General features: G+C 38.7%; 1 protein-coding gene across 20 annotated transcripts in view; it reads left to right on the top strand.

Annotated features, from left to right (window-relative positions):
* Nucleotides 1-23,246, top strand: part of ABCB4 (ATP binding cassette subfamily B member 4) — a 110,132-nt gene that overhangs the window by 52,375 nt on the left and 34,511 nt on the right. For 3 of the 20 annotated variants that reach the window (XR_007060045.1, XR_007060051.1, XR_007060055.1), the window contains 12 exons: nucleotides 1,428-1,532; nucleotides 3,578-3,655; nucleotides 5,033-5,116; nucleotides 6,138-6,341; nucleotides 9,936-10,036; nucleotides 11,620-11,760; nucleotides 14,261-14,417; nucleotides 15,419-15,616; nucleotides 17,138-17,365; nucleotides 20,372-20,518; nucleotides 21,351-21,524; nucleotides 21,675-21,820. Coding sequence is in view for 8 of the 20 variants with exons in the window: in XM_011516308.4 (XP_011514610.4) it covers nucleotides 1,428-1,532; nucleotides 3,578-3,655; nucleotides 5,033-5,116; nucleotides 6,138-6,341; nucleotides 9,936-10,036; nucleotides 11,620-11,760; nucleotides 14,261-14,417; nucleotides 15,419-15,616; nucleotides 17,138-17,365; nucleotides 20,372-20,518; nucleotides 21,351-21,524; nucleotides 21,675-21,731 (1,674 nt within the window). In the remaining 12 variants the exon portion in view is untranslated. Of the gene's footprint in view, nucleotides 1-1,427; nucleotides 1,533-3,577; nucleotides 3,656-4,633; nucleotides 4,802-5,032; nucleotides 5,117-6,137; nucleotides 6,342-9,935; nucleotides 10,037-11,619; nucleotides 11,761-14,260; nucleotides 14,419-15,418; nucleotides 15,617-17,137; nucleotides 17,366-20,371; nucleotides 20,519-21,350; nucleotides 21,958-23,246 lie in introns of those variants that run through there. The other 17 variants (XR_007060054.1, XR_007060050.1, XR_007060053.1 and 14 more) reach the window with 14 other exon arrangements.

The raw sequence follows: 23,246 nt of genomic DNA, 5'->3' as shown, positions 1-23,246 counted from the left end.
TTGGTGAAACTGGTGTCAGACAATGATCCCCAATCTGTTTGTGTAGAAAAGCTGGTACAAGTCGCACAGTGAGGTGGAGAGAGAGTGGAGCAGGGAGGGGTTAAAGTCATAGAGTTTAATAAGAGTCCAGGCACTGGGTATAGACTGGCCTCACCACTCAATAGCTCTCGGTACCTCAGTTTCTTCATCTATACAATAAATCTACCTCATAACATGGCTGAGGATTAAGAGATTATATAGGTAACTATCTGGAAAGCATTTAAGAGTGTGTGCCTTGTAGTAAGTATTCAAAAAGCGATAGCCACCCCATTTTAGCAATCCTTCCAAGGCTTGGGGAGTCCAAGACTAAGAAAGAAAACATACTAGCCAATCATTCAATTAATTGGGGGATATTTAAAGGAAGTTATCACAAATATAAAGCCTCCATCAATTCCATGAAATCCAGAATTCATATTCTACAATTTCAGTCAAGCTCTAATGTTATTGGAGAGACTTTGTTGTTGAGGATAAATAATTCTCCATCATGTTACGAGTTTATTATTTTTGTGATGTTGGACATCGATCCACAATTAAGACCACAAGCCAAAAAATAAATAAATTAGAAAAGATCCTCCTCCAAATCTTTTAAAGTTTCAAAACAAAGCAAGCTCTGGCTCTCTTGCAATTCAAGGCAATGTGGACTATATATTTTGGGGCATCTGTCTGCCTAGTGCTGCTCCAGGCACTGGAGATACAGTGGTACACAAATAAACCAAGTTGTGCCCTCAAACAGCGGTTTCTGTCGGGGAAGACATGCAATGGACAAACAAAAAAATAACCCCACAAACATGTAACATGTTGAGGGATAACAAGAGTTTTAAAAGATGGGTAGGGTAATAGAGAGGTGTTAGCTGGGGGTGCTGTTTCAGATAGGATGCTCAGGAAAGGCCCCTCTGGGTGGAAGCCTGATGGAATGAGAAGTGGAGGGCTGGGACAGGGAGGAGTCACAGGGAGCAAGGGACATATAGGAAGAGGAACAAATGCTAAAATGTGCAACCACTCACAGTCCATATGCAGTATGTCAACCTATGTTAACAACCATGCAGTCAGAAAGTAGAATAGAGATTACCAGGAGCTGGGAGGAGGAGGGAATGGGGAGTCAGTGTAATGGTATCAAGTTTGGGAAGTTTGGGAAGGCGAAAAGTTCTGTAGATGGATACTGGTGAAGGTTGCACAACAATGTGACTGTACTTAACGCCACTGAATTATACACTTAAAAATGGTTAAAATGGTAAATTTTGTGTTATGTATATTTTACCACAATTACCAAAACCCTACATATTTGAAGCCTAGTTTTAAACATGTGACACTCAAGCCACTATTTATGAGAGGAATGAAGAAGGATCAGTTATGTAATCCAAGTGGGCGTTTTAAATATTCTTTTGTAGATTTTTGGACCAGGCGATGATGCAGTGAAGCAGCAGAAGTGCAACATATTCTCTTTGATTTTCTTATTTCTGGGAATTATTTCTTTTTTTACTTTCTTCCTTCAGGTAGGTACCCATGATTTGCCTTTCTCATCAAGTTTATAATTTAATTAGAGAAATTAAATTAAACCTAATGGAGCTTCCAAATTCTTACAGTGAAATAAATTGCAAACATGATTGGCATAAGGCTCTGCTGGAGGGTAGACTCCTTATCAGGGGGAAGTGTGACTTCCCTGTGTCCTAACTTATATTACATTACAAGTTTGCCCTCAGCAGACATTCATTACCAAGGACAAGAGACCTCAGTTTACTGCAGAACATAAGAGTAACTTAAATTCAACAGGTTGGGAACTGGGAAAGTACAGTCCAATAGCATTCTCTTTTCTGTTGTTACTCTTTATAGAATATCAAGTAACTTCTCTGATCTTTTCCTACTTAATTGATGAACTATTTGAAAGAACATAATATTTTGCATTCTAACGTTGTAGACCTGGCCAAAATAAACTAGTCAAACTCTCTAATTGTACTTTTCTACCCAGTTAGACTTCTCTGTAATTTCTTTTGTCTCTTTAACCCAGTGGGCACCACATAGGCCTTTCGAATATAATACAATCCATCAAGTCAGCAAAATAGTGTTTCCTAGTCATGCCAGCATGCTTCTCTTTTATTATTGTTGAACCAATGGCAAAGTAAACCAAGTTTTTTATTTAGAAATCATTGCCCTACTAGACACAACTCAATGATTTGATCCAGCCCCAGTCCCTGGCATGCTAGGGAGTGCAGCTAGAAAATGTGTTTCAGGGGCCGCAGGAACAGTGGGCTGATGCATAGAACCTGTAGCAATCCGCCAGCAAATGGAGGGGGAGGGCAGTCTGGTCCTGGACAAGGAACACCTGGGGCCGATTCACTGGGTGCACTGATCATCTATCCCCCTGGCTTAGTAAACAGTTCTGATGTGCACTCCCCCGTGTGCCCTCGGCACGGCTACCCCAACACTCACACTGTGGCTGGAGACTCACACGTCCCAGAAGTAAGCCCACTTCTGGATATCTGGACTCCTCTCCAGTTTGGATGTGGTAATTAGAAAGTAGGAAATTGTCCCAAAGAGGCTGGGGAAGGAAGAGTACCCTGATTGTTCCCCAATCTGAGTGCAGGTGGAGCTGTGACCAGGAACCAGCATACTCATTTGGATCTTGTTTCTAAGGTCATCCTTCCTTTACACTGCATGAGCCAAAATGAATTCGTGTGTAGGACTTTGTTACTTCTGTATTTAACTGGTTTATTGGAAGTAGTAGGAACACACTGAATTTTGTAGTTAAACACAGTATCTTTGTCACTGAGATGTTGTCCTTCAAAGTTTTGAAAAATAAACCTATTTAGAATGGTTTAGAAGCCAGAACTGGACACCTTTAAGATTTTTGGCCTTTGATTGTAATGCATACTGATGATTTTGCAGTACATGAATTTGACGTGGGGGCTTTGAATTCGTATTTGGTCCTGGACTTTTGTTATTTAAATAGTTAACATACAAATAATGTAAAATCAATGTGAATATAGGCACCTGTGTCAGAATACTAGCAACTGTTACCCACACAACGGGCAGGTTTGGTCACTTGGTGGGTTTCAACCCAATGACCACATCAAGGAGGATTTAGCAAAGGAATTTTATAACTTGTCACAAGTGAGAAGCTCACAGAGCTTAGTTCCCAAAGCAGTATCTCCCCAAGCTGGAGGCTGGGTCAGGTTTTATAAGCGTATGGTAATGAAGTGTGATCTGATTGGATCTTGCAATGAAGTGATGCCGGGAAGCACCATCTGACTGGATCCTGCCATGGGGTGGTGTCAGAGCTCAATCTGATTGAATCCTGCATCCTGCCATGTGGTGTCTGCTTCTTAATTCAGTCCCTGATTCTTGTTTCGGAGCACTTAGGTTCCTGCTATGGTTGCATGCTTGATTCATCTGGGGCTGCTCAGGTTATTAACATGACTTGAGGATCCGTGGCAACTGTAAAACAACTCATAACTTTGCTACATAAAAGTTGAACATGATTGGTCTGGTGCAATTACATACATAAAGATCAAAAGAGACCATAGCCTTTTTTCTCAACCAGGGTTTCACGTTTGGGAAAGCTGGCGAGATCCTCACCAGAAGACTGCGGTCAATGGCTTTTAAAGCAATGCTAAGACAGGTAGGAGTGTGCGCTGGAGAATGCCTTCTGATCTTTCACATTTCTTCCATATTAAGCTTCTTACTGTTCTTATTGTTATGTCGATATGCATGTTTTCCCCCCAGGGTATTCACGCAAGGATGGGGCAGAGTCCTGCAAATTGTCCTGGTCCTTCAAGAGCTAAAGACTTCTCATGTTTTTTTTGTTTTTTTTTTGTTTTTGTTTTTTTTCATAGAAATAGGCTTTATTTGGGTAGCTTTGGCTTATTCTGTAAATATCTCTCTCCATGTAGACACTATCATTTCGAAGACCTGTATCTCTTTTCTGGATCCTGTGCAGGCCCTGGTGAGTCCATTGAGACTCCAGGATGTCTTTAAACCAAGAAAAACCTAGTTGATAGCATTTAATCTCATGTACCACAATCTACCATACTAACTGTAGGTATCCTCAAATGTTAATAATTGAGTTTTGTTTATTTCTTATTTGAGGTCTATTTTCACATTAATTCACTTGTTTGTTTATTCAAACATTACTTATCATGTACCAGACACTGTGCTGGTGGCTGGTACTGTATAATCCATTATTTGCTCTCCTCGTAAGTTCACATTCTAGTGCCTGACATAGGAAAATATGCAAACATGAATTATCTATTTTTATAGAAAATGCCTAAGAGAGGGCCAGAATATTATCCATTCAATTGACAGGAACTGATTACATTTCTGTTCACAAATGGGCACATAGTAGGTAGTATATTCTGATTAAATCTGTCTACAAATCCTATTTCAGTATCTCCTAAACTCTTGCTATGCAGGAAAAATTATTTTATGTGAAGGTAAAAGATGCCATGGATGAGTAGCTTACAATTAAAATTAAGTCTCAGACATGCTTCTTTTTTTATCCCTGTGGCTAACTGGAGATCAGACACACTTTCAATCAGTGTTTAACAAAAAATCAAACAAAAGCTTGGTGAGAAACCAGTGCTTATTTTCTCCTGCCTAGAATCTATCAGAACAACATGTCCAAGACAGCTCCACCACCCTTTATGAGAGACAACACCATATCAGGGCAGAAGTGTCCATAGTGAAAGACCTGATGATTGGGTGAATGGAATGCCTACCAGCCTCCCAGCCTTGGGAGGAGCTGGCAAGGAGCATGGCAGCCATCTGGGTGAGCCCTGCCCCCCTAGACCAGAGATGCCCTCCCTGCTACCACAGAGCAGTCAGGAAGCTGGGTTCTGCTAGATTCTGGGGGTGTGTGCTCAGAGCAAGGCCAGGGACTCTACACTGCATATGAGGTCTCCCCTAAATTTCCTCAGCATTGGAGCTTTGGGAGGCTTTGTCTGGTTTTCTTTGCTTGTTTTAATTTTGAACTAACATAAACGTGTATTTTATGCCATAGGACATGAGCTGGTTTGATGACCATAAAAACAGTACTGGTGCACTTTCTACAAGACTTGCCACAGATGCTGCCCAAGTCCAAGGAGTAGGTAGACTGCACTCTACTTGTAGTTTTTTACATAACATGGTTTTAGATAAGCATGTAGCATACCCACACTTGTTAAGATGCTTCCAGCTAGAAATAGCAGAAAGCTCAAATCAAAACTGCTGTAAACAATAAGCAGAAGATTAAACTTCAAGGTTGATTGACCCACTGCCCCCTCCAGATTTAATCCAGAATCCAGGTTCCCTCATTGGCTTTGGCTTTATCCCAAGGCTGATTCCCTGCAGTCACAGGATGGCTGCTAATAGTAATTAGAACTACAGGCTTCCTTATTTCCCATCCAGTGAAAGAGAGCACACACCTCTACCTCAACCACCAAACAAAAACCCTTTGCTGAAATCTAATTTGGGCTAATTTGGGTCACATGCCCCACCCTGAACCACTGTCTCCAGGGGATGGTGGTGTTCTGAGTGGCCTACGTCCCCCACCCCTTTAGCTGAGGTGGGTTACTTTGCAGCTCACTGCTTCCACACAACAGGAGAAGGAGGAATGGATGCAGAGAGCTGACTGCAATGTTGCTACAGCCACCTTTGTTTTCTGAGTGGTACAACACTAATTCATCCTTATATGTGCTTTGTGGTGGATGTCTCTTAGGACACGTACCCTTTGTAACAACAGATGGTCTCTTTCCCTTTTACACTTTTGAATTAAATGGTCTTTAAAATTACCCAGGTACATTGGAGTTAGTTTCCTCTTTGAACATTGCATCTATGAAAAAATACATGCACCCCCAGTGCCCATCCACAAAGCAGAGAAGTTGATTACTTGGTTCTAGAATGTTGGTTCAGGTGGGCAGGAGAGGAATGAGAGTGTAAAGGCACAATGAAGAAATGTCTGCAGAGCCTCATGAGTTAAGCACAGGTGTTGTGGGTTTATTGTAATGAAAGTAAGCCAATGTAGCTCAGGCATAGAACCCACTCATCATTCTGACCAAGAGGCTAAGGCTGGAGCGCATGCATTTGGAGCTTAAAACTACAGTTGCTTTGTGCTTTTTCTCTCCCAGGCCACAGGAACCAGGTTGGCTTTAATTGCACAGAATATAGCTAACCTTGGAACTGGTATTATCATATCATTTATCTACGGTTGGCAGTTAACCCTATTGCTATTAGCAGTTGTTCCAATTATTGCTGTGTCAGGAATTGTTGAAATGAAATTGTTGGCTGGAAATGCCAAAAGAGATAAAAAAGAACTGGAAGCTGCTGGAAAGGTAGGTCAAATAAGATTTCAATTGGTGTTAAGTGTTGTTTTTAGACATGTGTTTTATTTGAATTATTTATCATGATATGCAGGCTTTAATAATTAAATGTTTGTGCCCACTACAACTAATAATTGTCAATTGTGTATGAAATATTTTACTGTATTAATGTCTAGAACTTAAATATAAGGTGATTAACATAAAACGTTGAGCCTATAGAAAGCACTTAACATAGTTATGATAAAGAACTTCTGAATATTCAAAGTGCATTTCATTTTACTTCATGTCCAAATGCTACTGTTTGGACAAATGTCATCCCTGTTTCACAAACCTTCATGCAGAAGACTGTAAGTGAATTGTTCAGGGTCGGACATGTGCTGGCATTTAAGAGATCCTCTTCTTTTTGGCTGTGATTTCTATAATTAAGATGGCAGCCACCAGATGGCAGTAATGCCTCAATTTTGTGGTTCTCACTATAATGGCAATTGGGCTTAACATTTACTTGAGCCTTACTACGTGCCAGTTATTGTGCTACATATTTATATGCACCAATTTATTACATCTTCACAATAATCCTATAAGGCAGGCACTATTGTTATCCCAATTTCAGAAATACAGAACCTGAGATTCAAACAGAAGTTAGAGATTTGGCTGGGATTTAAGTTCAGGTCTAGTTTCAAAGCTCTTACCTCTACTATATGGTCTCTTTATATGTGTTTAAGTGTCTAAATCTACACATAAACATTTTATTTACAAGTACATGCACTGAAATGTTCACATGTAGATTATAACCATGAACATTCTTAGTCTTATTTATGTAATTATTATCCTTTATTGAAACATGAGGAAGTGAAGCAGATAATAAATATAAATTGTGATATAGGTTTTATAGCATTGCACTTTACAAAGCCCTTTTACAAGCATTACTGCAACTGACCTTAACTAGTTATGAGAAGTGGAACAGACAGTATCTCTATAGGGAAGAAGGCGTCAGAGACTGGGTGAGTGACTAGCTTCAGAGGCACCATATTAAGAGGGAAGATTAACATTCGGACTAACCATGTTTCCACTAAACCAATTATGTCTGGTGAAATCCTTTCTTGTCCTCTTGTAATCAGCATCAGCTGCCGCTGCATGCAGCGTTAGGTATAATAGTATCTCCAGGTTTCCATCAGAATTCACTCTCCTCATTTTCACGCTGCATCCTCTCCAAGACTTGGAGCTTGCTAGGACAATATGTGGTTCCCAGGACTTGGGAACCCCTGGGTGTCTAGAGTTCTTGAAGATTCTCTTGGCTGCTGGCTGTGGGTACTTTAGGGCATCATTTCCTTGACTTCTGAGTGTCTCAACTAACTGCTGAAGAAACACTGTGTAGCTCTGTTTCCTCCCCTGCCCCTCAATCCTGCTTCTTTCCACATTTCATATGGGAGAATGGTCAGTTGGATGGAATGAAAATAAACTTTTCTTAGACAAGTTACATGATAGAAAACATCTTGAATCTAGTTAATAGTCTTAGCTCCATTAATTGTTAGAATTTTGTCAGAGTAGAGCAGGTAGAATTGAGCAGTATTGAAACAAAACAAAATCTTGGGTTATTAGCTTTGGTCTTGCTATTCACAGTGTGTGAGGCTGGAGAAGATCCCCAACTTCTCTAGTCCTCATGTCCTACCTTAGTAAAATGAGAAATTGTACCAGATACTGCCCCAAGTTCCTTCCAGCTAAAACCCTGTTATTCTAAGCATCAGAGATTGAATAACTCAGACTGGCCAGTTTAAATTTTTTTAGTAGCTACTTTAACCTAATAGGGTTATGAAATATGAAAGATTAAATATGAAATATGAAAGATTTTAAATATGAAAGATTAAAAATGTTTTAAATGTTAATATCAGCAGTTCAATCATAGTTTAATATTGTTTACTCAGTCAGCACTTGCTTAAGAGTCGGAAAGAAGGTTCTAGAAAAACCCCAAATCACTATTTAAAAAGAAACACTCTCATTTACCTGGGTACAGTTTCATCATCATTAAAGTACAACAGGGTTTGAGGTATTCCCATCCCAATTTTCCAAAAAGGGCTTGGTAGTGAGGGTGTTGGTTACTGGGCAGGGAGTGGGGAGGGAAGACTGCCTCATAACCATCTTGACCCAGGGCTTGTCTGGTCACTGAGATTAAGGGCCCTCTGTGCCACAGCTAACCCGTAAGGGAGTTGATCCATGACTAGAATGTCAAGAGGAGTGTCAAGTCATTACTGGTTTCTCCTTGTGTAAATTACACAGCAGGGGTAGCAGAATAGCATTATGGCTTAGGAACATGGACTCCACATCAGATAGTCTCAGTTGGAATTCTTGCTTTGCTACTTATTAACTTTAGAACTTAAGGCAATTCAGTTAACTTCTCTGTGCCTCGGTTCTCTCATCTGTGTAAATAGGAATACTATTTCCCTTTCAAGGTTGTGAGGCTAAATGAGATCATATTGGTGAATGAGGTAATACTTGGACATAGTAAAAGCTCAGTAATTTTTCTCTATTCTTGTAATTGCTATCTGTTATATCTTTATTACAAATGAAAAATCTATGGTTATTCAGTCTCAAGCATCACATATCTTCCTTTCAGCTCATTGCAGAAGCTAAGAACTGAGGTAAAAAAAAAAGTCTTAAAGCTGTTAAAAACCTAAAATTAAGATCTTATGCTCCATGTGCTGTTGGTTTAGATGACTCAACTACAGAACTAAGATTTAGACTAAATAGCTAAGTCACAGACAATCAACATTTGTCAAGGGTGGTTTGGCTGTAAGAATCAGAGAACTGCTCTGGCTGGTTTGGGTAAAAGCGATTTGATATAAGGACACTCCAAAGTGCAAGAAATACAGGCAGTTTGTGTGTAACTGGCTCTTACAGCCACAGGCTCTAATATCTGAGTCTTCCTATACATCTATTCCATTCCTCGGATGCTGTATATTCAGACCAGCTTCTTACACATACCCAATGTGACATCAGCCTCTGAAGCCCCAGGGCCTCACGGTTCAAACTTGTGTCCAGGGCCAGGAAACCAAATCTGATTGACCCAGATTAGTCAGATGTCTGACTCTGATTTAATCACGGATTTAAAGCATGCTCATGTTGTTGACAATTGGGATCTCCTTCCCATTGTGGGTGGACAGCTTTTATAAGAAGTTATACTCAGGGAGGAAATAATTGGCAGCTCCAATAGGCCCTTAGAAATCACAGCCTAATCCTTTCTTTTAGGACTCTGCCTTGTGAAGAAAGCCAGGCCACAAAGGGGTTGTGACTAAGGCCAGTCATGTAACTGCCTGGTGGCAGGCTGGGAATAGAACCAGGCCCTTGGTTCCCAGGCCACAGTTCTTGCCCTTAGCTGATCAGCCTTCCTGAGCATACAAAGACTTGCCTACCATACTTAGCACAGCCAGAAGTACCAGTTTTGTCATAAAGCTAGTCTTGAACAGATTATGCCTTTGGTTTTTAATTTAAAGGAAATTAAAGCCTATCAACGTAACCTTCAGGATACTTTTGACAGAGCCCTAGGGCTTATTTTTCATTATTTCAGAAGTGAAAACACCACTTCTAATGAAGGTCTATTCTGTGTTACAGATTGCAACAGAGGCAATAGAAAATATTAGGACAGTTGTGTCTTTGACCCAGGAAAGAAAATTTGAATCAATGTATGTTGAAAAATTGTATGGACCTTACAGGTAATGAACCATATGATTCCTGCTAAGAACCTAGTGCTTTCCTAAGGCTGAATTATTGTCCCAAAAAGATAATAAAAGCTCTGCTGCTCCAAACAATGATATGACTATAAGGGTGGCCTTTTTTCAACAATTCTGTCACTGAAAATAAGTAGCTTTTTGATGTGACTAGGACACAGAATTATATTTTTTACATCTTATGCAAACAACAAGAATAGGTCTCCAAGACGTAAAAGATATAGAGAATTGCACAGTCTTTGGTTATCAGTGCAGGCAACATAAATAACCTATCTGGGTGACTTAAGACAAACATTCCTTTAAGGAATTGCTCAAACCTTTCTTTGCAGTGTGTAGACTGAACCAAAAGTGAGACTTGCTATTGGGTATGTTCCAGAGGAAAGTATTTCATTTGTTCTCTGAATGAGGACCAGATCCAACCTACTCTGAAGATAAAGAAACACAGACTATTTCAGTGGTTTATAGTTGAGCAATTCAAGAAACTCCTAATGGCACCATTTGCCACTCATTTCCACTGCAGCCTGATTTTATAAATGAGTATGTTTTAACACAAAGTTGAACACAACTTAGATTACAATTTTGCAGACTGGAACAGTAGTTTTGAACACTTGCAAATTTGAACAGATATCTTTGAAAGTCTCAATTTATGCCATCTCCTCAGTTATGCACACTTCATATGATACTAAATAACATGCAGCTACACCTTTGTGTCCATTTGTTGTTTGACATAAAACATGTATGCACCATTAATGATGACCTGTTTTTAACTTCAAGGAGGGTTAAGGAAGAATAGAAAGGTGAAGCTAATTATGAACTTGGTTATAATTTAAAGATTCAATAGCTTCACAGAATGCTCAAGTTTTGTAACACCATGTTCACAGCACATAAGTTAAACCATCCAAATTAGTAATACTTTGAATTTTTCCTTTTGCCAAAAACACCCTCATATTTGAGAGTAACTCAATTATAGTTCTTTTGGAGGATTCAGAAGCCAATAAAGTATAGCATGAAGTCAAATTAGAAACTGTACAAAATAAATTATATACAGGGGCGGCTGGCAGGATCTAGCTTGGGAAAGGACTTCTGGTGTATATCTATGTAAACTTCAGGGACTCAACTTTTGTGAATCTGAAACATGAATTTTAACCTAACAGAGTACAATTAGTTACAGGAAACAACATAATAGTAGTAAATCACATTCAGATAATTCAAACTTAAATTCAGATCCTGACATTTTAGGTATTTTTGAAACAACAACTATGCTTAATAGGAGTTGAACATTGGAGTCATCAGATATTAATATGTAATAATATCAGTTATCATTTGAGGAACCACTATGAACTAGGCACTGTGCTAGACATTTATATGGTTTTTGTCAAAACAATTCTGCATTACAGTGATTATTTCCATGGTATAAATGTTTAGAGAAGTTATCATTTACCCAAACTAATATAACTGGAGGTGGAACTTAAACCCACTCGGCCAGACTTAGAAGCCGTGCTCTTTCCACTACACAGCGCTAAAGGAGGCTGAAGAGATGGTTACAAGTATACTGATTTGCTTTTCAGGAATTCTGTGCAGAAGGCACACATCTATGGAATTACTTTTAGTATCTCACAAGCATTTATGTATTTTTCCTATGCCGGTTGTTTTCGATTTGGTGCATATCTCATTGTGAATGGACATATGCGCTTCAGAGATGTTATTCTGTAAGTAGCTTTAGAAATATTAAGATTATTCTATAATAAGGTTTTAGTAGGTTTATGCAAAAGTTTAGAGTAGGAAAAAAATGACTCCTGTGTCCAAAGATGAGGTCAGGGATTTAAATTTACCACAGTTTCCATCCTGGCAGGCACAGAGATCTGATCTTGTTAATACTCCAAGTGCAGTTTCATTTTGCGGGCTACAATTAAGCTTATGAAAATGATCAGAAAGCACAGTTTTAGTTGTACATATGATCCTGGTCAGGATGATGCAAATTTTCTCATTATAGAATATAGGCAGAAAAAATCATAATTAGAAAGTTGCTGGTGACCATGGACTCAAAACAGGGTTATATAGCTTACTATTATCTACAACCAAAACATGGCCTGGAAAACAAGATGGGAATACTTGTTGGAAGTCTGGCAAAGGCACTCTCTCCCTAACCAGGCCTGAGATGAGACAGCCCTGCCAACATTTGCCTCTCAGCCTCTCCTTTTTCCTTGGTTTCCAAGGCAAACTACTGGTCTTTCTGTTTGATGCCTTCTTTCATAATGTGCTCAGCACATTCCATTAGGTTGCAATCTGGGCTTGAAAGAGGGAAGCAACTCTTTTTAAGATCATTTGGTATGTTTCTGCTCTGGTGGGATGATTTTAAAGCAGTGGTGAACAGCCATTTTTGAAACAGGGTCAAGACAAAAAAGCGAAAGTGTGTTAAGAGCTGGGTTTTTTTTTTCATCCAAAATTAAAATTACCATGAAAAAATGTATCTATATAATCTTTGTATCAGGATCCCAGCAGGAAACAAATGGCACAGCAAATGGGTTAATTGATGAGTTTGCTAAAGGGTCTATTTACAAAGGCCTGGAAAGTGTTAAGGTAAGCAGTACCCAAGAAGGAAGTTAACACCCCAGCAATACCCAGCTGGAAACTGCTACCACCCTAAGCCTAAAGGCAAGAGAAGGGAAAGATAGCCAGAACTCAGCATAGGTGCTTTCTGTGGTCTTTGATGGAGGGACAGCAACTGCACAAGCAATCTGACAAGAAAGAAGCCAAAGAAACAAATACCTTGGCCTCACTCCCTTCCAGCCTCCCTATCCTCTGCTGTGCCTTCCATTGGCCAAATCCTATGAAACCAGAGGACAAGAAAACCTTTTGATTCAGTTCATGATAGTTGGAATCCCCAGACATGGAGTAGGGGGATAGAAGGTAGAGATGGGTAAAAAGTGAGGAGTGATTTTGGGGGACAAATGGAACTAGCAGCTGGGGATTACAACTTAGAGTACAACTATTTATTGTATAAAAAATATTGAGAACATTTCTGAAAGTGAAAACCGTTGGAAAGTCACATTATTCCTGCTTCCTTTCTTTTTTAAAATCATTGAAATGTTAAATTATGGAAACCTAGAAGACAGCTTTAGGCAGTACAGGGAAGCTATGCAGCCACATGTGGGTTGTTCATCACTATTTTAAAACTTAGTTTTTGGCAACTCACCTTTTCGTCAAGCATTTAAAGGAAAGTTTTACTATACCTCTCATCCCAGCCCCTAGGTATTAAAACCCATTTTTAATATCTTAGCTTTAGAAATTTGAAGGTGAAAACTTAAAGTTCTCCATTATTAGTAGAGAACTCCCACTCCTTTCTCTGGGGTAGTGCTGGTATCAGAAGTAAATTGCTTTGTGAAGTTGTAGATCTCAGGATCTTTAGCCCTTCCTAAAAGTTGTCATAATCAATATCCATCTTTAAAGAGCATATAATTAGAAAATAGAACTTTAGTTTAAGGTGACTTTTTTTTCCAGAGTGCTGTCAATAGTTATTTTAACTTTTATTTTAGGTTCAGGGGTACATATGCATGTTCGTTAATACAGGCAAACTCATGTCATGGGGGTTTGGTGTACAGACCATGTCATCACCCAGATACTAAGCATAATAACTGATAGCATAGTTATTTTAATTGTAAATAAAAAGCTATTTCTAGTAAAAGCTTATTTTCCCTAATAAAAATTATTTACAGTGATGATGATTATCATTTGTGTGGTAGTACAGAAGAAACCACAAACTGGAAGTCAGGGCCAGAGCTTTATCAGAAAAAGCTTACTTGGAACTGATCAAGGCCCTTACACACTTTGTGCTTCAATTCCCTCAACTCTAAAAAGAGTATAACCAGCAACTAAAATTAGCTGAGCTCACAGATCAGATTCAGTTATAAGCCTCTTCTTGAAAGTAAAAACCTTTGGGAAGTCACAGTAGTCCTAAGAAATTAGGGGCTACTATGCAAAGGGAAGTCAGAAAGCAAGTCGAGAAAAGGTAAACCCTCAGGAAGTGGATCTTGCCCCTCTCCTAGATTTCTCTTGTTACTAGAATTTTATGAAAATGTATGTCGGGGAGAAAGGGGATGATTAAGGAGTAAAGGGAAAAAATACTGGTAAGCACTATACCTTTAGACTTTCAAACATCATGGAGTTAATTATAAAAGCTAATTTTTGAATTCCTCTACTTCTGTCTAGGGTGTTTTCTGCAATTGTATTTGGTGCAGTGGCTCTAGGACATGCCAGTTCATTTGCTCCAGACTATGCTAAAGCTAAGCTGTCTGCAGCCCACTTATTCATGCTGTTTGAAAGACAACCTCTGATTGACAGCTACAGTGAAGAGGGGCTGAAGCCTGTAAGTTCTCTGATGCCTGATGATGCTTGATCAATTTTTCCCTAAGGTTTGCTGTCTGCTAGATTATAGCTACAGGATAAGTTTGTGATGATTACACCAACATGTGTTTCATTTAATTTGTAATATTTATATAGCTAATATTTGGGCAACTTGACTGACATTTAAAAATTTTATAGGTGGTTTCAAGGATCCTGAAGTTTAGCACATCAAAATAAAAAAAAAAGGGAAAACCAGATATATTAGAACTGAATAGTTTCCACAAAAATTTAGTCATTTCTACATAAAGGTATAATTCTGCCATGTTAATGCAATTAGTAATTTGACTTTAATCACTTTTTATAATAGTTAAGATGTAATTGGTAAGAAGGGCAGTTCGTTCACAATGAGAGTAATAATCCTGTGCTTTATTATCTATAAAGGTAACTTAAACTCACATCTGAGTGTTCTTTGTATGACACAAGATGCTACACGTTGTAATATACAAGCAGCTGTGTAGGTAAAGAGGCTAGGACTTAACACAGTCTTTCCAGGACTTTCCCAGGTATTTCATGTTCTGATAAAATTGCTGTGCCCAGTGAGTGAGATAAAGAAAGTGAACTTAAGAAACTGCCAGGGTTTGCCATCAGGGCTGCCCACTGAAACTTTGGGTAGAAACTGTTGCTAAATTTCCAAGCCTTTAGAGTCTTTTGGACACTGGCTTGATTCCAGCTTCAGAATAAGCAGTTGGGAAAGCTAAATGAATATCTTAAAGAAATCAGAAACTAAGTTAGATAACAACTCATGGTAATGACTTTTTGTCTAATCTCACCTATACCCCTATCTCTCACCTTCATTTCACACCATAATAACTTGCTATCAATATTAACTGGCACCAGAACTATACCAAATATGAATTTTATGTTTCTCTACTACAGTCTTTGGTAAAGTTTCCTTGAAATAATATTTCTTATTCCAATAATTATCAGGCCAATTATAATAGCAACATTTAAACATTTATTCAGGATAAATTTGAAGGAAATATAACATTTAATGAAGTCGTGTTCAACTATCCCACCCGAGCAAACGTGCCAGTGCTTCAGGGGCTGAGCCTGGAGGTGAAGAAAGGCCAGACACTAGCCCTGGTGGGCAGCAGTGGCTGTGGGAAGAGCACGGTGGTCCAGCTCCTGGAGCGGTTCTACGACCCCTTGGCGGGGACAGTGGTGAGCACATTTCCTTATAACTTGATTGAAGGCTATATTTTAATTGGCCCAACCAATATTGTCATAATGGAAAATATTGGACAAATGTAGACCTAGAATCCTGTTTGATACAATGACCACATTCTATAAACCCCAACTGGCACCATATCTGGGAAATATATGGGGACAATAGGACAGAATGTCTGGAATTCAGTCTAGCTCAGAAAATACTGAATATAAGTTTAATTTTTACCCTGTCATGGGCCTTTCCAGTCAGTCTGATTGTTCTAAGCAAATACTGACTTACTGGCTTATAAAGGTGAACTACAGACTCCTGCCCAAATTCAAAGCTGACTTCCAAAACAGGGTGCTACCTGCTTATTGCCTCCCCACCGCTTTCAGTTTTGCTGCCTTCTCTTACCTTGAATTCTCGGCTCTCGAACTTTGACTTTGATCCTCAACCTCCAGCCCTTTCATATTTGGCTTTTGTCATTGATTTTCTAGCATGTAGCCCCGTGGCTCTCTTCCTTGAGTGAAGACCAACTCTTACTGATAATGCTTGTATCTGCCATAACCTTGGGACAGCACCCATGACAGAGCCCTGGGAGCCTGTCCCCATTAGACAGTCACCAAAGTGTTAAGCCTTGTTTCTTTTATTAATAGTTGTTAAGCCTAAATCAGCCTTGTTAAGCCTAATTTAGTTGTTTCTCTCTGGAAATCTTCTGCTTTGCTATTATAGCTATTCTGCAGGTAACATAGGCAAACCAGCTCACCAAAACTCTGTAAATATGGTGTGCTGATACGATGGTGGGAATTTTTTTCTTTATTGAGATCAAGACTAGCTGGACTTGTGTCTATTCCTTTGCCTGTAAGCTTTACCTTACACGAGGCTGTATTTTCAAGTACATATTACAACACTTCCCTAGGAGCACCATGCCTCCTGCCTATAGCAAGTAAAACAAAAACAAAACCATCACTGCCAGCAAAAATAATCCTCCCAAAGACACTGCCCTTTGTAACTTGTTCCTTTTCCATGGGATTCTTGTCCTTAGTGCTATCAGAGAGGTGAGGGAAAGTTAAGGCTAGTAGTTTTCAGGGAAAAGAGAGGTAGAGGTAGGACCAGAGTCAACCAGCTTTTGGGGCCCTGCTTCTGATCAGCTTTTTCACTGCTGTGCATGGGGGAAGGGGAAATCAAGTCAAGGTGAAGGGTTAGGATTATTCTGGGGACAGCAGACCTGAGTGGGACACCTTGATGCAGGCTTCTTTAACGCAGAGTAGGACACAGATGGCTGGAGGAGGGCAGACAAGGACAAAGAGAAGTGTGAAAAAAGAGGGTCAAATGTGCTACCATTTTGCCAGTTAGACCAAGATAGGGATGGCTTAATCACCATAAAAATCATCATGTTGGCCATGCTGGCCTCAATGGTATAAGTCTTGGAGGGTTGTTGTTTTGAAGCTGCTGACACCCTCATGCAACGATCCTCCAAATGGACAATCTAGTAACTTTTTAGTTTTTTTTTCTTTTTTATACCCTTCTTATAGTTTGTGGACTTTGGTTTTCAGCTTCTCGATGGTCAAGAAGCAAAGAAACTCAATGTCCAGTGGCTCAGAGCTCAACTCGGAATCGTGTCTCAGGAGCCTATCCTATTTGACTGCAGCATTGCCGAGAATATTGCCTATGGAGACAACAGCCGGGTTGTATCACAGGATGAAATTGTGAGTGCAGCCAAAGCTGCCAACATACATCCTTTCATCGAGACGTTACCCCACGTAAGTTAAAGAGTAGCTGAAATCAGAAGAGACTACTTTTTATCCCCCAAACAATTACCAAAGTTATGCCAACAAAATCTTGTAACAAAATATGTTGATTTACTAACATTAACAACTTGGACAAGGCACTTCAGGATACCAAGCTTCCTTATTTGTAAATGGGAATACATTATGCCTACCTCATACAAATGTAGTGAGAAGCTCAAAACCACCATACTTCAGGTTACAGACTGGTGGTTGAGGGCTGCATTTAGACTGCAGTCATGTTTGGTTTAGCCCTATGGTACTTTTAAAACAATTATAGTTTTTATTTTGAGATAATTATGGATTTACATGTAATTGTAAGGAATACAGAGATCTTATGTACCCTTTACCTAGTTTCTGCCAATGACAATATCTTGCAAAACTAGTATACAGTATCACAAGCAGGATACTGATATTGATACACTCCACTCATCTTATTCAGACTTCCCTTGTTTTACTTGCATTCATTTGCATATGGATTTAGTTCTGTGCAGCTGTATTGCAGATGGGGATTCATAGATCCACTAATTAAGAACACTGGCCAGGCACGGTGGCTCACACCTGTAATCTCAGCACTTTGGGAGGCCAAGGTGGGTGGATTACGAGGTCAGGAGATTGAGACCATCCTGGCCAACATGGTGAAACCCTGTCTCTACTAAAAACACAAAAATCAACCAGGCGTCGTGGTGGGCACCTGTAGTTGCAGCTACTCAGGAGGCTGAGGCGGGAGAATCGCCTGAACCTGAGAAACGGAGGTTAAAGTGATCCAAGATCACACCATTGCACTCCAGCCTGGGCGACAGAGTGAGACTCCGTCTCAAAAAAAAAAAAAAAAAGATACAGAACATTCTCATCTCCATAAAGATCCCTCATATTGCCCTTTTAGAGCCATGCATATATCCCTTCCTCCCACCCTCATTCCTCTCAAACTCTGGCAAACATGAATCTGTTCTCCGTTTGTATAATTTTATATTTTAAAAATGTTTTATAAAAATATATACAGTATGTAAACTTTTGGGATTAACTTTTGTCTTTCAGCTAATTCCCTGAAGTTGTGTGTATTCATAGGCATTGCTTTTTATTACTGAGTGATATTCCACAGTGTGGATGTACCACAGTTTAACCATTCACCTGTTGAAGGATAGCTGGGTTATTTCCTGTTTCTGGCTATTGCAAATAAAGCTGCTGTAAATACTTGTATACAGGTTTCTGTATGAATTCAAGTTTTTATTTCTTTGGGATAAACACCCAGGAGTAGAATTGTGGAGCAGTATGGCAATTTCATGTTTAGTTTATAAGCCACTGCTAAACTGTTTTCCAGAGTGGCCATCCCATTTTACATTCCTACCAGCAATGTGTAAGTGATGTAGTTTCTCTGAATCTTTGCCAGCATTTACTGTTGTCATTAGTTTTTATTTTTACCACTCTGATAAGAGTGTAGTGATACATCACTGTGGCTTTAATATGCATTTCCCAATGGCAAATGATGTTGAACATAGTTTTTTATATGCTTATTTACCATCTATATATCCTCTTGGTGAAATGTCTCCATGTTGTTTGCCCATATTCTAATTGGATTTTTATCTTTTACTGCTGAGTTTTCAGAAGTTTTTTTTGTTTGTTTGTTTAACATATTGTAATTACTGTTGGATATGTAGTTTGTAAATGTTTTCTCCCAGTCTGTAGCTTGTTTATTCATCCTATAAGAAGGTCTTTGCAGAGCAAAAGTTTTACTTTTGATGAGGTCCAATTTACCAATTCTTCCTTTTATGGATTATGCTTTCAGTGTCAAGTCTAAGAACTCGTTGCCTAGCCCTAGGCCCAAAATATTTTCTCCATGTTTTTTTCTAAAAGTTTTATAGCTTTACATTTTAAATTTCAGTCCATGATCCATTTTTAGTTCACTTTAAACATGTGTAGCCCTGGAAGGATGGCTTGAGGTCCCTAAAAGTGATGGTAGGGACAATTCATTTTATGGCATTCTTCCAGCATTCGGGGTTCCACTGGGTTACACTGACGTAGAGCTTAATTATTTTTGCTTTTATTTTCTGCTATAGTTAGAAATCACTCACACCCACAAATAAAATTTTAAAACCCTTTCATTTTGGTTAGCCTTACCAACCTTTAATGCACATTGACCTGAATCAAATATTGGATTTGACTGTGAATAGAAAAATTTACAGCTTCAGCTCTTAATATAAGTGACCACTGGACCTTAGGAAATTAATTCACATGATATACATCACTGCATAAGCCCTGCAAACTGAACTGACTCAATTTACATCTCTATTCATATGCTCTTTCTCAGCCTAGAATGCTCTCTCAAAATCTAGCTCCCCAAACTTCTCTAAAAAGATTTCTTTCATTTATTTCCCCTTTTTTCTCCTTCTACCCTGTCTCCATAACAACTTCTATCTCCTTCTTCTGATCTTTCATAGTGTGCTGTGTATACTACTACAGTCCTGTGTTACATAACAACATTTTGGTCAATGACAGACTGCGTATACCACAGTGGTTCCCATAAGATTATAATGGAACTGAAAAATTCCTATTGCCTAGTGACATAGCTGTCATAATATCATAGTGCAACACAAAATTCAAGTATTTGTGGTGATGCTGGCATAACAAAGCGACTGCACTGCCAGTTGTATAAGAGTATAGCACATACTACTATGTACAGTGCATAATACTTGATAATGACAACAAATGACTTATTGATTCATATATCCGTTATAGCATTTGTTATTTTAGAGTATCCTCCTCCTATTTTAAAGAAAGTTAATTATAAGATAGCCTATTGTAGAATACCATTGAGAATTAAAGTCACTAGTTTTCTAGTTTGATTTTGAAAATAAACACTCTGTTAAGTTGAAACAACGTTATAGAAACTGTTATTGACTCTAAATGTTTTTCTTGTAAATAGAACTGTCAACTGTTAAGCAACAGTTCATTCAACATATTTATAATTTGGTTAACTTGCAGAAATATGAAACAAGAGTGGGAGATAAGGGGACTCAGCTCTCAGGAGGTCAAAAACAGAGGATTGCTATTGCCCGAGCCCTCATCAGACAACCTCAAATCCTCCTGTTGGATGAAGCTACATCAGCTCTGGATACTGAAAGTGAAAAGGTGTGTGTGGCCTCCCAACTTATGTCTTATTTAATTTATGAAATAGAAGGGATTTTGCTGTCAACCATGAAAAAAACACACACAAGCACAGGGGGAAAAACACAGAACGTTAGATAGTGGTTTTTATTTTTATTTTTTTGAGACGGGGTCTCGTTGTTGCCTAGGCTGTAGTGCAGTGGCGCAATCCAGCTCACTGCAACCTCTGCCTCCAGGGTTCAAGCGATTCTCTTGCCTCAACCTCCTGAGTAGCTGGGACTACAGGTGCCTGCCACTATGCCCAGCTAATTTTTGTATTTTTAGTAGAGACAGGGTTTCATTATGTTGGCCAGGCTGGTCTCGAATCCTGACCTTGTGATCCGCCTGCCTCGGCCTCCCAAAGTGCTGGGATTACAGGCGTGAGCCACCTTGCCCGGCTGATAGTGGTTATTTTGAAGTAATGGAATATTTTATTCTAAATTTTCTAAAATGATTATATATTTTATAAAGTAAAGCATTCAAAAGAAAAAAGCTGCACAAATTACATTTTTAGCACATTAGGAATGAAAAACTGGAAAATACTCAAAAGGGAACTAGTTAAACAGAAGATTAGAAAATTTAAATACTTATGAATTTTTTTACAGCATGGGAACCCATTTGTGTTATATTTAAAAAGCAGAACATAACTATGTAGATTAAATGTTGATTATACAAAATACACATGCATAAAGTTCAAAGATTCTAAGATACTAGAAATTAAAAGTTGATTAGAAAGGTAACATTTTCAAATTTACTTGAATGTTAAAACTAATTTATACAATTTTTGGGATAAGGTGTCTGTCTGATTTATCAATAGGTTGTCCAAGAAGCCCTGGACAAAGCCAGAGAAGGCCGCACCTGCATTGTGATTGCTCACCGCCTGTCCACCATCCAGAATGCAGACTTAATAGTGGTGTTTCAGAATGGGAGAGTCAAGGAGCATGGCACGCATCAGCAGCTGCTGGCACAGAAAGGCATCTATTTTTCAATGGTCAGTGTCCAGGCTGGGACACAGAACTTATGAACTTTTGCTACAGTATATTTTAAAAATAAATTCAAATTATTCTACCATTTTATCTGACTTGTAAAATAAGTTTCTGGTTTGTCATCATAAAACATAGGTATGTCTGTCTCATTCTAGATCAATTTAGAAGACCCAATTTGGGGTTTATTACGGCATTTGAAATTTGAGAGTTAGAAGTGACACCTGTCTTGATGAAGTATTGAAACAACAGGCTAGCTCTCCCTAAGTTATTAGAAACATCCAGAAAAAGAACAAAATTCAAGGTAAGTACAGGTGTAGAAATATAGAAGCCACAGACATAGGGAAATGGTCTTATGGTCCTGAATGGGTTGGGTAGACAGGAAAGTTTGGGAATAATTTTCCCAAGTACAAAAGAAAAATAAATTGTTCAATAGCCTCATCTCTCTTGGTAATTTTCTAAATCATTCTATTGTGGAATCAAAGTTTTTTAAATGAATGAATTTCCAGCTTTATCATCCAACATCAAGAGAAAATGAAATTGCCCTACCGAGCTAACTCTGAAAGCACATATCGGTTCCATAAAGCAAGAAAGAGCCCTATCATTAAGTATTTTTTTAAAGTTTTAAACTCATTAATTTAAAATGTACAATTATCAGTATAATTTCAAACATCAAACATCAATGATACATGCTGAGTTTCTATAGCAACTGCGTTCTCTTTTATAAATAGACTACTTTTCCCAGAAAATCCGTTTTTCCTACAATGAAAGGTATGTTTAGATGGAAAGCAAAAAATATAGACAACCCCTAGAAGCTAACCACACTGAAATGTTTCAATAATTTTCCCTTTGTTTTCTCCACAATTTTCTGCAACAAATTAGTTCTTAGCGCTCTATCAGGTTGTTAAATTCAGTAAATCATCCAAAGTTCTTCTAACTGTAATAAGCCATATTACCAAAGAATTTTTCAAATGTGACCACTGTGTGAGTGGATCAAGTTTCAGATTAACCAAGATAAAAGTGGGGCAAAAAGTACATTACTGCAGTGACCCAAAGTAGTGTTTGACCTATTCCTGTATAATGATACCCAAACTTGCCTGATCAGAATCATGGGGCATCTATTCGTAAACAAAATAATTGATTCAGTAGGTCTGGGTTGAGGCCCAGGAATCTGTTTTTTAAAATACACTCTAGGTGATTATTCACATCAGGCAAGTTAGGAAAAGTGGTGAAGTGTGAGTGAGAGGAGGTTTCTGTGCAGGTGATGCAGTCTCCAAAATACGCAACTCATTACACATTATAGGTTGAGTATTCTTATCTAAAATGCTTGGGATCAGAAGTGTTTCATATTTCAGAATATTTGCATTATACTCACTGGCTGAGCATCCCAAGTCCAGAAATCCTAAATGTTCCAATGAGCATTTCCTTATGTCAGCACTCAAAATGTTTTGGATTTTGGAGCATTTCTGGTGTTCAAATTTGGAATGTTCAACCTGTATTTATAAACCAACCAAATGATTCTAAATGTCCTCGCTATCTAGTTTAAAACCCTGCATTAGAATGAGGGGAAAAGGTTCTTAGTTCAGATCTCATCTTCCTTTTCTATACCAACTGTGAAGAAATGTATCAAATGCTACTGAAGCCAACTCTGAATGTTTTCACAGAGAAATAGTACTGATGCTTTTCAGGACAGAGGCTGGCACAGTGTAAAGGGCTTAATTGTTAGCAAT

This window comes from Homo sapiens, chromosome 7 (genome assembly GCF_000001405.40).
Source record: "Homo sapiens chromosome 7, GRCh38.p14 Primary Assembly".
Lineage (NCBI taxonomy): Eukaryota > Metazoa > Chordata > Mammalia > Primates > Hominidae > Homo > Homo sapiens.
This window is presented reverse-complemented; position numbering and strand designations above follow the sequence as displayed.